Genomic DNA, 15,324 nt, shown 5'->3' with positions numbered 1-15,324 from the left:
GAGAAGTTAATTATAACTAAATATATAGTTCTGGTCACCAGTCTGGGAGAAGTTAATTATAACTAAATAAAAGGTAGACAAACAAGCAAACTGCAAAGGAGAAAATTAACAACTCTAGGGAAAGATGTATAAGGAAGCAAATATAATAACTGAAGATGACATAATAATTAACTCAGGTTATACTGTATACTGAAAGGATAGTGGAGGGGAAACATGTCTGTGTGTCTTGGAGGGGGACTTGAGTAAGGGAGACAAATCCTTCTTTTCCATTGTAGGAAGTCAATAAATACTTAACAAGCTAAAAATAAGACCAATCAAAAATGTTGATATAAACATATTATCTTGAAATATGAAGGTAGATACCAAAAGAAACTGCCAAAAGATTTGAAAGTGATTGCCTCTGAGAAGCACAACAGAGGGATGGTGGTTTTTTTTTTTTTTTTTAAAGACTTTAGAGTTGTCTTTTTAAAATATATGCATATAACTTTAATAAAACTAAAACATAGTTCTATGCAATCAAAGTATATTCTAAACACAAACTAGTACAGTACACATTCTTTCATACCTTACTATGCTCCCATTAAAATATTTTACAGATCATGTCATATAAACATAAGTGGACCTCCTACTTTTTTCAGTTATTATTTTAATAGTTATATAGTATTTCATTGAATAAATCTATTTATTGACATATAAATTTACTAACCCATGTATTGGGATATGATAGTCCCACAAGTAAAACTGTGAGATATTTCTCTATTGCCCTCCAAAGATGCTGCCCCCAAACTTACAGCTCACCAGCAACATTCGAGAGTTCTGAATTGCCCCCCATGCTCAATACTATACATTATATAACTATCCTTTCAATGTGCAAGGTGAAAAGATATGTTGTCATTTTAACTTGCACTTCTTTACATTTATTTTTCCAAAAACTGTCTACTCAGTCCATTAAAAAAAAATCTATCCTCATTCAGATCCCTCTCCATTCTCTTATCTTTTCTATTCTATTTTTCGTAAGTACACCTCTCTCTCTTCACAGTGTTGGACAAAATTTATCTTTCCCAGAAAACTTTCTCTGTGCGTATAGTCACAATTATAGGTATATTCCTCCATTTTTAAGATGTGTGCCAAAAATACTGATTATGCTATATAGAGAACTACAAATAAAGTATTTCACAGAATCTAAGATGCAACATTGCAAGGTGTACCATTATTTTATGAACTACTAAGAAATTAAAAATGCTACCAATTTTTTACAAACCACAGTGATTTCTTATCACTTACAATTTTTATTACAGTTTCTGAATATTATGGAATTCATATTTTTATATCTTTTGGAAGTAAAAGCATTATATTTTAAAAAGTGTTAATTTACTATATGGCTATAAGTAGTAGGATAATAACTAGTGTATTTTGAAACATTTCTAGGTGTTACCTTAGTAAGATGATACCTACAAAATTAATACTCCATTAAGTCACATATAAACTTTCTGAAAAGTTTTCCAGTACCAATGACCATAATTCTATAATTTAGGAATTCCTACAATTTACTTTGAGAAGCCTTATAGCTCTGTGAGTTACCTACCCACAAAGGTGTTGATGAGATAAATGTCATTAGCATGTGTTGCCACAGAAGAGGGAATAAAATCAAAAGAGGTTTAGTAACCCATAAAGATTTCCAAAGTTTGAAGGTTACATTTTCAGAAAGTCATTATTAGTCCACAGATACATATAAAAGCCAAGTACAATGTTTCTTGATTCAAGGGCAGAAATATTTATTTTAAGATAATGTAAGAATGTAAGACAGGTTGCTTTGCAATTTATAATAAGAACAGTAAGTTGGAACTTAAGCTAAATAAATTGCTTATTATGAAATGATTCTGAGAAGTACCATAAACTGTTTATCATGTATGCTTTCTGTAAAAAGTTTAATATGAATTTTATGTATAACTTAATTTTTCCAAAGAACAGTTTATAGAAGGAAACACTGACAATAACAGCATACATGTAGTCAGTACATTATTATTTTCAAACCACTAGCAAATTTTAAATTGATATAAGTAACAATTCAGTGAGATATTTTTATCTCTCATTTTATAGATGATAAAATTCAAGAGTGATAATATGATGGAAATCACTGTAATTTACTTTCTTTTCTATTTTATCAGAACATTTATTTATTCACATTTTAATATTATGTTGCAGCCTTACAAATGTTTTCATCCACTCACTCTGATAAGCAATAAAGAATAAAATAAAGATTGCATATGTACAATGCTATTCTTCCTTGGGAAAATGACAGAATTATAAAGGATTTCAATGGGCTAATTTAATTTTTAATCTATATTTGCAGGATTTGCCATGTACGCAACATAGTATAACTTATAGTCAAGGATTAAAGGAAACTGCATTTTTTTCAATTACTTTAGGTACCAAATCATATTAAGAACATTCAGTGTAAGGTAAAATAGACCTGAGGTATGTTATATGAGTGGGTAGGCATTTTCATTTAGTCAGTCAATTAAATCAACTTTCAAAGCAAGTGAAATTATATTCTTATACTATATGGGATCCTTGAACTTATGAATAATATATTTTAAAATTACTGTCATAAATAATATTAGATAAACAATGTAAAAAGTCTAACATACAAAATCAATGCTAAGAGTAACATTTTCTTGGAAATAACATTACTTTTATAAATAAGCTGATGCAGATCAATTTCACATTTAATAACTTATAAAAACAAAGTCAGTGTTTTCTAGTTTCATATGCAAAAGCAAAGTAATAGTTGGAGTGTATGTAACCTACATTAAATATGTCTTAGAAAGGAAGATAAATGAACTTATCTTCCATATGCAATATGTAAATACGTTAATTCAGACTAATTGTTCTATTTTTGTGTAGTATCTTTGTATAAACTAAGCATTTTTAATTGAACAGATTTCTATTAAGTATTATCAAATTGTTTCTCTATGTACAAATCTAATTTTGTTGTGATTCAACAGAAAGTTTTTATTTTCCCTTTTAAGACATATTCTTTTGAAATAATAAATTATATTTAAATTATTATTACTGGCTGTTTAGCATCACTTTTCAAGTGGTCCTTTTGCAAGAAACAAAAATATTAGCTTCTACTTAATATATACATCAGTCTTATAAACCATTTTATATTAGTCTTTTACAATACTCATTTGATGCTAGACATACATTAACAATATGCAGTAAGTTACAGAGTGTAAGACGTTATTTTTACTAGTGTTATTAACGTGTACCACCTATGATCAGGAGCAGCTTCATGTTTAAGAAGATAATGACAATGACAATGATTACTGTTACAACAACTACCACTGCTTCTACTATCAACACATGACTTTTTGGGGGAGGAAAATTCTACACTTTAAATTTCTTTACCGTATACATAAAACAATAACAGACATTCTGTTGACTTTGGCAAATAAACAACAATTTTTAAAAACTTTATACAAGTCAAACAACATATGTTAATTAAGTACTTTTAAAAGTTAAAAGTACACGTAAACAATTGTTTTATATAGTAGCTTAATTTCTATTTCTTTTCAAAATTATCTCAGTGTAATTAAAAACTGGGCAAATAACAGGAATTTAATTCTAAGGGTATTATAAATCTCAAGCAATATTCATCTCTGAAAATAAGTTCACAGTCCAAAATCAAAGAAAATGCGATGTTCATTTTTAGGCGATCAACATTCCATGAGTCATAAATTATTTTGAAATGAGGAAAATTTCTAATGAATAAATAAAAAAATAATATTGAAAGTACATTCATATGTAGTCACCGGAAGTATCTATATACTTCTGAAGGGAATGAAAAAGTGCAGAGAGTTCAGCAAATCAAGGCAAAGCTCAACTTGATTTTATATATATAACATTTGTAGTAACAAGATGCATTTTATCTGTTTTATGTTTAAGAATTCAGTTCCAGAAAAAATATCAATTTCATAGCATTCACCTTTTCCTTCATTCTCTACTTCTTCTGACCTCAGACCTGCTTCCATTCTCAAAATGTTGCTTCTTGTTATTTGTCACACAGATAGTAATCCTTTAAACTTTGTTTTAGGAGTATCTAATTAAAAAAAATAATAACACAAAAGCAATATTTATTTAGGATATAATTCTGAGGTGATAGTGTTAAATATTCTTATAATAATATGAAACGTAAGGAATTCAATAAAAACACCCCACATAAAATATAAGACACAAAGACTTAAAAGCTGAGTGTTTTGTTTAGTAATCTGTGCAATCCTCAATCTTAGGCTTAGAGAAAGGTAGCCACTTCCAGGTATGGCTCTACGCACTATTACTTAGAATCAGTGGTGCCAGTGTGATACTACAAGTCGGTCGGGAACACTACCTGTGTGGACATACCAGACAATGGTCCTCCTTTTTTTTCAATGTTTAGTTTAAGAATTTATAAGGCAGTTTAAAATTCCTTAAAATGGAGATTAGGAAGACCTGACTTCTTTTGTTAACTCAGCTACAACGGTTACCACCTTAGACAAATAAGTAAGCCTGCTTGCCTCTAAACATTTTAGATGAGTATTTCCCAAAATGGGTTCCATAAAACACTAGATCTCAAACCTAATTTGTAAAATGCTGAATACTGCCATTTCCTTTTGGCAAGACAAAATGCATAGTAGCATATTACAATCTAATAAACTCTATGGGGAAGAAACTTATTTAACCAGTTTTATTATGATATTTCTTAAACTTGACTAAGCAACTTTTTTTTTTAAGTATGCATTGATGTGCTGAGGAACCACTTTGGGAAACACCTCTATCTATCTATCTATCTATCTATCTATCTATCTATCTATCTATGCTTCAAGCTTGAGAAAAACAGCAAGAAACATATACATGAATATACTTGCAAGCATTTTTAAACCAACAATAAAATCTCCATTGCAGAAATCTAACTAATAAAAACCCACAACTGACCAAAATTTTATCGCTACAGTTGACTTTTGAAAGAAAAAAGAAAAAAACAAACTCCTCGCTTGGAGATTAGAAACAAGTTTGACACATTTTTTGGGTTATAAATAATAAAAATGTGATAAGGAATAATAAGTTATAATAAATAGGAAGTAATAAATGAATAAGATAGAATGAAGCTTAAATTCTGGTTTTCCACTGACTAGCAAGTTATCCTATGCAAGTTACTTGTTAAACATTGATTTTTCTCTGTTGTTAAATGGGATATCTGTGAGAATTAAATGAGATACTACCTGTGGAAGAACACTTAATATAGTGCCAGACAACTAAAATAACTAAACAAATAAGCTGTTATTTTCTGTGGATGCTCAGAATCATGATCCTAAAAAACAGTAACAAATATTCTTTGGGTGCTAATTATCCTATATTATAAAAGTCCAATTTTGATTTATTACATTGTCTGCTCACATACAAAACTTCAGGTTTAACGTAAAATTTTTCAATCAAGATACTCTAATGACTTAAAAATTAAAAATAAATTAGATAATTCTATTTCTTTCAGCTATTTTCTAAATGTTATAACAGAAAAATAAATTATGATCCCTATTGTTACTGAACAAATTTAGACAAATAGAAGCTAACATACTTATCTGCTGTGAAGTTCTTTCTTCAGGCAGGATTTGAAAGTGGGGTACTTCTGGACTGTTTTATAACCCTGTAAAACAGAAGAGCAAAGTGTGCAAATGTACAGAAAGACAAATACAGCGTGATTTCACTTACATGTGGAATCTAAAAAGTCAAACTCATAGAAGTGGAGAGTAGAATGTTAATTACCAGAGGCTGGAAGGCTGGGGGACTGGGGAGGAAAGGGGGAAGGTGACCAAAGGATACAAAGTTCCAATTAGACAGGAAGAATATGATTTTGAGATCTATTGTGCAGTAAGTTGACCATAGTTAGTAATCATGTATTTCATATTTCAAAAATGCTTTTAAAAAGTACATTTAAAATGTTCTCACAATAAAATGTGAGCTGATAGATTTGTTAATAAGTTTGATATAATCATTCCACTATATATATATACCAAAATATCACATTTACCCCATAAATACATATTTGTATGCTATTATCTGTTGATTAAAAATAAAAATTAAAAAAAGGGCAAATGTAAATAAAATGCTAAAGGCCACAGGTATGTAATAAATAAAAATAAAAACATAACACTTAAGAGAGCAGTACAGTGGCAAACGTTTCTAGCGTACTTTATATTTAATTTGATCTTGCTCCTCTAAAATTTTTGAGGCAAAATAAACGATTTTCAATGTAACTTGTTTCAAGTACTTCTGGCATCACCTAAAATGTTAACAACTAACCACCAGGTGGCAGTTAAGTACACAGCATCTTTACTCAAGTAGCTTGGACTTTAAAGTCATTAAAAATCTTTAAAAATACTGTCTCAGATGAATCTTGAGGTTTTGGATATATAACTTTTTCTCTTTTAAAATGTATAATACTGGCCGGGTACGGTGGCTCATGCCTGTAATCCCAGCACTTGGGAGGCCAAGGCAAGAGGATTACTTGAGGTCAGGAGCTTGAGACCATCTTGGCCAACATGGCAAAACCCTGTCTCTACTAAAAATACAAAAAATTACCCGGGCACGGTTGTGCACACCTGTAATCCCAGCCACTCAGGAGGCTGAGGCAAGGGAATCTCTTGAACCCGGGAGGCGGAGGTTGCAGTGGGCTGAGATTGCGCCACTGCACTCCAGCCTGGGCAACAGAGCAAGACTCCCATCTCAAAAAAAAAAAAAAAAAAGGATAAAACTTAGGGATATTCTTGCAAGAGGGAAGATTGAATATTCTAGCTCTTAATTTTAACAGAACATTTTTTCTCTTTTTCTATTTGTGGCACATCCATAATATGTTAGATATGTACACATTTATTGATTCATACTATATTTCCAGCTTTAAAACATGTTTCTTGGGGGAAAAAAATCACTGAATTTCTGGTAATTATTTTTTACTGTAAGATTTCGATAAAAAAATTTTTAACTTATTTTTCATATTAAAAAGTAATGATTATGCAGTAACATAAGAGCATCAAGTTACCTAGAGGAAATCTGTGTCATCTAAAATGAGAAATAGTGGCCAGGTGTGGTGGTTCATTCCTGTAATCTTAGCACTTTGGGAGGTCAAGGCAGGAGGACTGCTTGAGCCCAGGAGTTCAACGTCAGCCTGGGCAACAGAGTGACCTCGTTGCTAGTAAAAAAAATTATAAATTAGCCAGGCATGGTGGCATGCACCTATAGTCCCAGCTACTTGGGAGGCTGAGGCAGGAAGCTCACTTGAGCCCAGGAGTTCAAGGCTGCAGTGAGCTGTGATCATGCCACTGCACTCTAGCTTGGGTGGCAGAGTGAGACCCTGTCTCTAAAAGAATAAATAAAATTAAATTAAAATAAAATAAAGTGACAAATAGTGATATTTATTTGTATAGTAACAAGTCCGAAAAGCTAATATGCAGACTAAATTTTTTGAAAATATTTGGCAACATTTTTCTTCCACAAACTAGGATGAAGACATTAGACTGACTATGAAAATAAATTATTATAAGGTCAAACTGATTTCACATTTTTTAAAAAGCATTCTCTTTTATCACCTCAAATTGTTTTTTAAGGGAAGTAAGGCCTATGTTTTTTCTTTTCAAATAAAGCATTCATGTTTATATCCTTAAGAAATTAAGATAAATTATTTCTCAACTTAGATGGATTGATTTCCCTCAGACTTTAAAAAGGATATCAATAGGTTTAAAATGTGTAGGTTTACCCGGAATCCTCTATGGAGTCTGTCTTTCATAATTCCAATAAATTCTTTATAACTTAATTGATCATCTTTGTCAACATCAAAAATCTTGAAGACAGTGTTCACTAAATGTGGTGAAAATTTGAGTCCAGTAGCTACATAGACGGCACGTTTAAATTCATCTAGATAAATGTTACATAGAAAAAGAATAGACTGTTATTATTTTTATAATATGTGTTAATTACTAGAAAGGTTGTAAAAGAAGTTGTTTTCTAAATGTGAATCATGATCTTATGCAACATGGCCTTCCATTAATCCTGCTGTCTTTTAGGTAATGAACATTTTTGTGGTTTAAATGAAAAGAGCCAAGCAACAGCTGTATCTTAGGTTAATAATGCATTCACATTCGATGAATGTTTAATGAGCACCTACTATCAGTGACAGATACTTTAGAAGTTAGTAAGATGAATAGGTTTTCAAGAAACTTACGGTTCAGATGGGAAATGAGACCCCTGCCCAAATAATCATTACAGGGGCCACACAAAAACTACCAATAAAGTGCTATGAGAATCTGGAGATGAGTGATCACTTCTGTGTTTAGTGTGGAGCAGGGAGAAGGGAGAGAAAGGCAGTGGTTAGGAAAAGGATGTGATTTTGTCTTTGAGCTGAACACAAAAGGACAATTTCAGCCTATAGAGATGACAGAAATGGCAGATGAGATGACATGAATGAACCAAGGCAGGCGGGGAGGTGGGAGGGCATAAAGCACATTCAGAAAACAGGGAGTCTGGTTTGGGTGGAGCAGGGGACATCTAGGATCTCAAGAAACTCTGCACAGGGACTTTGAGGCAGGGAACCAGAACATTCTTCAATAGGCAATTGGAAAACTTAAGAGTTTTCCATTGCAGATGTGTCATAGAAAAGTTAATTTTTTAAGAAAGATTATTCTGTCAGGTGTGTAGGAAACATCAAAGAGGAAAGCAGCTAGTAGCAGGATTGTCACTTTGGTGGCTACTACAATATTCCTTTTAAGAGGTAATAACCTGAATAAAGATACTTGTGATGGCAAAAAGAGATGGACGTATTTCTAGCGCCTGCAAGACAGGTGACACCATCAATTTTTTTCATTTTCCAGTTCTAAAAAACAAACAACTTTTCTATTCTGAACCCAGTAACCAGATATTGATTTGTTTCTTTGCACGTTGATGAGATTTATCACAGCAGTAATGGCTAGTCTGTAGAGGCAGAGTTGCCAAAGGTTTTGGCTTTAAAACACTAAAATGGGTTGAGAATATGCCATATTTGAACATCTAGACTACAGAAAGGGTAAAATATAAAATTTTGCAGGTTTCTCTTATTCAATGAATAAATGAATAAGGCCACATGATGAAATCAGTATCTATGTTTTTGGGAAAGAGAAATTATCATCAGCACTTAGGGACTGCAGTTTGGCTTCTCTCTAGAACATAATAATAGCCTGTCCTCTGGGGTTTTTTTTTTTTTTTTGAGACGGAGTCTCGCTCTGTCGCCCAGGCTGGAGTGCAGTGGCGGGATCTCGGCTCACTGCAAGCTCCGCCTCCCGGGTTCACGCCATTCTCCTGCCTCAGCCTCCCAAGTAGCTGGGACTACAGGCGCCCGCCACTACGCCCGGCTAATTTTTTGTATTTTTAGTAGAGACGGGGTTTCACCGTTTTAGCCGGGATGGTCTCGATCTCCTGACCTCGTGATCCGCCCGCCTCAGCCTCCCAAAGTGCTGGGATTACAGGCGTGAGCCACCGCGCCCGGCCTCCTCTGGGGTTTAAGCTTGTGCATTAACACAGATTATGGCAGAGACAGGTAAAATCACCTTAAGACAAACAAAGTCCCCATAGGGCAAGAAGTTTTAAAAAGGACATGGCCATGAGGAGAGGGAAGGTGATCACAGCCACAGGATCCTAGGAAAAGGGCTTGGCTTCTTAGTCCACCTATAGCCAAAGACAGCTGGCTCTGAGGACACCAGCACTTGGGATTCTATGACCACTGTATTTATTTGAAAATTATGCAAAACTGATACTCAATTTTACAGGTTAGTTGGTTAATGTAAATCCATGGCTAAGAGGTGGCTCTGCTGAGAAAATTCCAGTTTCTGAGTCAGCAGGCATTAAATTAGTAAAATAAAATACCACCCTGTAAGAACAGGGCACGACCAGCTGCTTCCTCCATAGGTACACACAAGTCCCTCAATGTCACCCAGTGGCCATGAGGTTTCTTCCCTCATGGCTGTTTTCTGACAAGTACCAGAACTGACTTGTCACTGAAAGTATACACCGGACTTTCACACAAGTTGATGGGTGATATGTCATATTTAATTAATTGGTTGCCAAAATCTATAGAAACAATGTAGTATTACTTCTTGCTTTTAATTTTTGTAGATGATTACTTACCTTGCCCTATAGAACGACTTGCAAAGTTATACATATTCAGGGCTATTGCAAAGTCTTCTAGGTTGTTTAAAAACTGGAAAAATGACCTGAATTCATCAAATGTGATGCCCTATATTGGGAAAGGAAATGAAAATACATTTAGTATTGCCAAATTTATTAAAATCAGGATCTACACATAAGAGAAAAAAACAGATTAAGCATTTGCAATGTATCTTGTAAGTAAACATTTCCAGGGCACATTTTGACGTTGTTCTCCAACTGGAATGTAAAATTCACTCAGACTTACTTTCACTGGGTAGTGCTGCCTGCTATTAGAATAATAGGTAAAAGTATTTTGTAAACACTGTCGTGTCAGCACTAAATTCCAAAAAAAAAGCTCCAATAAAAAAGAATTAAAAAGTTTCAATTTTGAAAATCCTCTCTTTTATGCCTGATTTTTTTTAACCTTGTAAGGTAAATATGATAATAAAGAAAAAAAACAGAAAAAAAAGCCATAAAAAAGTTTCCCCTGCACATGTATTCCTCAAATGGAATTCAGCATCATTAGATCATGAATGTCTTTATAATGACAATGCAAAATCAAAGTGCTGACTCCATGTCAACGCAGTGTATTCACACTTGTTCCTGTCACTATAGCACTGCCAGGGCAGTGGCAGGAAGTGCAATGACCTCAGAGGTACAGTTCTGGGTGCCTCCACACTGGGCTGGTGTGGGATAATGTAAAGGACTGGTGGTCAGGGTGGCCTCTTCTGGAATGTCATGTGTATAAACTGCAATTATTGCCACTGCTGTTACTTCAGTTGAATAGGGAAAGTCTTTGAAATAAGTACAATGTATCTTAGAGAATACACATTTGGACAAGAGGAGCTGCATTTAGTTAATGGGTTCTCCTCAGCAAATTAACATAATTAAGAAAGAGAACAGAGAGAAGAGCAGAAGGCCGAGTTGAGGCCTAACAAATTCTTACTTAATACAAGGGTGAGAGGAAGGGACACTAACAAGGCCGTGTTGGAAGGCCAGGGAAAGCCCCACAGGGATCTAGTTTCATATAAGCCAGCTACTGATTAGATCAAATGATTTATTACCCAAACACTCAGCTTTTGGTATATGTTACTTCAATTACAACTCATCTTTTACTTGCAATGGGAGAATCCTTACTGTCTTTTCTCCTCACATTGTTTACTTTCCTTTCCTTACATTGATCATTTATGACCATTCCAATCTTGGATCCTGCTTTGTGACCCTATCCCACCCATCATGTTTTCTGTAGAAGGCTGTTTGAATCAGTTAGGAGGACTGCACCAGAAAGGGTTTGTCGTGATGTGGAGAGCTTGTTGCCAAAAAAACTAGTCACTGCTGTGGTTCTGCACCAGTTTATGCTGCGACCTGCTGCCATAACAGCAGTGTCTGAGTGACAGGCTACTGTTAGTAGGAGTAAAACACACGAGGATGGAATATTTTTAAATAAAGGGAAAACAAAAATATCAATATATTGGGGGGCAGACATGAGATTAAGAAATAAATTTAAAAATGACAGACTATAATGTTCAACATCTGAACTTTCAGATTTTTCAACACATGGTTCTCATTTTTGGAAAGAGGTCAAATTCAGAACATACAATCATTCTTTTGTGTAGATTAAACACTTTGTGTTTAGAAATATAAAATTATAAAATAACAAATGGGCCATGTATTTTGATGGAGATAATTAAAGCAATGTTTCTTAATGGCCAAGAGGGACAGACAGTCAGAGAGGGGCAGACAAAAGGGGTGTGGCCATTTCTTCACTCTACCATCCTCACACTCAGAATCACTACTGGAATAAACCATCAGGACTTGAATGGAACTTGTCTTAACTGTTAGAAATAAGGTGAAAAGAAGTAGCTTATCTGCTAACAAAAATAAAACAATGATAACTGAAAAGCTGAAAACATCAAAAAATACATGCACTGAGAGTACCGGAATAAACTCAAATATTTATGGTCAACTGACTTTCAATAAGAATGTTGATATGGTTTGGCTCTGTGTCCCCACCCAAATCTCATCTCAAATTGCAATCCCCACGTGTCCAGGGAGGGAGGGACCTATAATCCCCCCATGTTGAGGGAGGGAAGTGACTGGATTATGGAGGCAGTTCACCCCATGCTGTTCTCGTGATAGTGAGTGAATTCTCATGAGATCTGATGGTCTTATAAATGGCAGTTTTTCCTGTGTGTTCTCTCTTTCTCTCCTGCTGCCTTGTGATGAAGGTACTTGCTTCTTCTTTGCCTTCCGCCATGATTGTAAGTTTTCTCAGGCCTCCCCAGCCATGTAGAACTGGGTCAATTAAACCTCTTTCCTTTATAAATTACCCAGTCTCAAGCATCTCTTTATAGCAGTGTGAAAGTGAACTAATATAGATGTCAATATCATTTATTGGGGAAGGAATTGTTTCTTCAATAAATGGTGCTATGACAACTGGATATCCACATGCAAAAGAAAGAAGCTAGACCCTAACTTCATACCATTTATAAAAACTAATTCAAAACAGATCAAAGTTCTAAATTTAATAGTTAAAGCTAGTAGACTTACAAAATAACCAGACAAAACTTCATGACCTTGAATTGCCAACAACTGCTTAAATATGACACCAAACACATAAGGAACAAAATAAAAATAGATAAATTAGACTTCATCAAACTAAAAACATGTACATTAAAGAACACTATCAAAATTAGCTGGGTGTGGTAGCATGGGACTGTACTCCTAGCTACTTGAGAAGCTGAGGCAGGAGGATCACTTGAGCCCAGGAGTTTGAGGTCGCAGTGAGTATGATCATGCCACTGCACTCCTGCCTGGGTAACAGAGTGAGACCCTGTCTGTAGAAAAAAATTAAAGATAAATAATAAATAAAAATAAAGTGAAAAGACAATCCACAAAATGGGAGAAAATAGTTGCAAATAATATATCTGATAAGGCTCTAGAATCCAGTTTATATAAAGAACATGTACAAAGCAGTAACAAAATGATAAACAACCTAATTTAAAAATGGGCAAAGGACTTGAAAAATCATTTCTCCAAAGAAATGGCCAATAAGCATATAAAAAGATGCTGAATATAATTACTCCCCGGGGAAATACAAATCAAAACTACATGTACACATATATTCACAGCAGCACTACTCACAACAGCCAAAGATAGAAATCGCCCAAATGTCTATGGAAGGATGAATGGATAAACAAATTGTGGTATTTACATAAAATGGACTATTATTATTATTCAGCCATAGCAAAGAATGAAATACTGATACATACTACAATGTGGATGAACCTAAAAAACACTATGAGACCAGGTATGGTGACTCACCCCTGTGATCCCACTACTTTGGGAGGTTGAGGTGGGAGGATCACTTGAAGTCAGGAGTTTGAGACAAGTCTAGGCAAAAAAACAAACAAAAAAAAACCCTGTCTCTACCCCCCCCTCCCCAAAAAAATTGCCAGGTACAGTGGGACATGCCTATAGTCCCAGCTCCCTGGGAGGCTAAGGTGGGAGAATCACTTGAGCCAAGGAGTTCGGGGCTACAGTGACCTATGGTTGCACCACTGCACTCCAGCCTGGGTGGCAGAGAAAGACCCCATTTCTTAAAAGAAATAAATTTAAGTGAATAATAAAAATACTATGAAAGAACCCAAACAAAAAGGTTACATGCTATATGATTCCACTGAAATTAAATATTAGAATAAGTAAATCCACAGAGACAGAAAGCAGAGTGATGGTTGCCAGGGACTGAGGAGAGAAGGAAACGGGAAGGGACTGCATCATAGGTACGGGGCTTACTTTTGGTATGAGGAAAATGGTTTAGAAGTAGAAAGAGGTGGCAGTTGCACAATATTGTGAATTCACTAAATCTCACTGAATTATTCAGTTTAAAACGGTTAATTTTTTGTTATACAAATTTTACCTCAATAAAATAAACAACAAAAGGCTAGGAAGAGGAAAAGACTAACTCAAAAAATCCAAACAAATCATTACAATAAAGTATTGACTAAATACAAACAGACGTTCAGAAAACATGGTCTTATGAGGCTTTCAAGTGTATATAAGCCATGTTTGTTTTCAGCACAAAATTCATGCTGATCCCATAAATTATGCCACAATATATACTGTTCAAAGTTTATTGGTAACTGATGTAAATGGCAAGTATATAATAACTTTTAGAAATATAAGTGAGTTTAAAAGGTTAGGAGAAATAAATCCAAACTCCAAAATTTACTGGCTGAATGACCTAAGGTAAGCCACTTAAATCTTTCTGAATATCCATTTCCTTAAAGCTTAATAACAATAATTATACTACTTTCTTGTTAACATTTGCATTACATGGTTAGTATGAGAAGTCATCTTTCCATCCCTTCTGGTCACTATCTACATTATCTCCTAGATAAGTTTACCTAGTCCCATGGCATTTTAAAAATTTTTAAATTATTTATTTAATATATTCACTTGTTCAAAATTCAAAAGGCCCAAAGATTGTATAGCACAAAATGTCCCTTCCACCCTTAGCCATGTAGTTTCCTTCCTTAGAGGAACCAATTTCTAGTCCTGTGAATCCTTCCAGAGTTAGCATAAGCTTTTTATAGTCTACAAACGGCTCTAAATCATGCCCTTTTCACACTTAGTATATCTTGGAGATAGTTCTGCACTAGTAAAGAATTTTTTTTCATCTCTCTTCAGCTGCACCTTATTCTATTCTATAGATATATCATGATATATTTGATCAGTGACTTACTGAAAGACATTTAGGCCATTTCCAGCCTGTTGCTATTACAAACAACATTATAATTAGTAACCTTGTACATGTGCCATTTCATCATGAGTGAATAAATCTGTAGGTAAAATTCATAAAACAAAAAAGCTTCAAGTTCTACATTTTAAAATACCATCTATCCATCAATTAACAAGAGTTCAACATAATATATATATTTGCATACATATACATAAAACATATTTGTTAGGAAATAAGCAAATTATACAGTATGTTAGAATATGATTATGCTATGGAAATAAAAACAGATTAAGGTAGGAAGGAATAAGGACAGCCAGGAGAGGGAGTATCATTTATATAATAGGTTATATATTATTCATATAATAGGCTAT

General features: G+C 34.0%; 1 protein-coding gene across 19 annotated transcripts in view; it reads right to left on the bottom strand.

The window, feature by feature from the left end:
* MICU3 (mitochondrial calcium uptake family member 3) overlaps positions 1–15,324 on the bottom strand; it is a 111,403-nt gene that overhangs the window by 14,248 nt on the left and 81,831 nt on the right. For 14 of the 19 annotated variants that reach the window (NR_182124.1, NR_146233.2, NM_181723.3 and 11 more), the window contains 4 exons: positions 10,192–10,300; positions 7,793–7,950; positions 5,618–5,686; positions 1,751–4,105 (listed from right to left, as the gene is read on the bottom strand). Coding sequence is in view for 12 of the 19 variants with exons in the window: in NM_181723.3 (NP_859074.1) it covers positions 5,618–5,686; positions 7,793–7,950; positions 10,192–10,300 (336 nt within the window). In the remaining 7 variants the exon portion in view is untranslated. Of the gene's footprint in view, positions 1–1,750; positions 4,106–5,617; positions 5,687–7,792; positions 7,951–10,191; positions 10,301–15,324 lie in introns of those variants that run through there. The other 5 variants (XR_007060729.1, NR_182123.1, XR_001745514.2 and 2 more) reach the window with 2 other exon arrangements.

The sequence above is a fragment of the Homo sapiens genome, chromosome 8 (assembly GCF_000001405.40).
Source record: "Homo sapiens chromosome 8, GRCh38.p14 Primary Assembly".
Lineage (NCBI taxonomy): Eukaryota > Metazoa > Chordata > Mammalia > Primates > Hominidae > Homo > Homo sapiens.
Note: the sequence above shows the minus strand (reverse complement) of the source record. Positions and strands in the feature narration are given on the sequence as shown.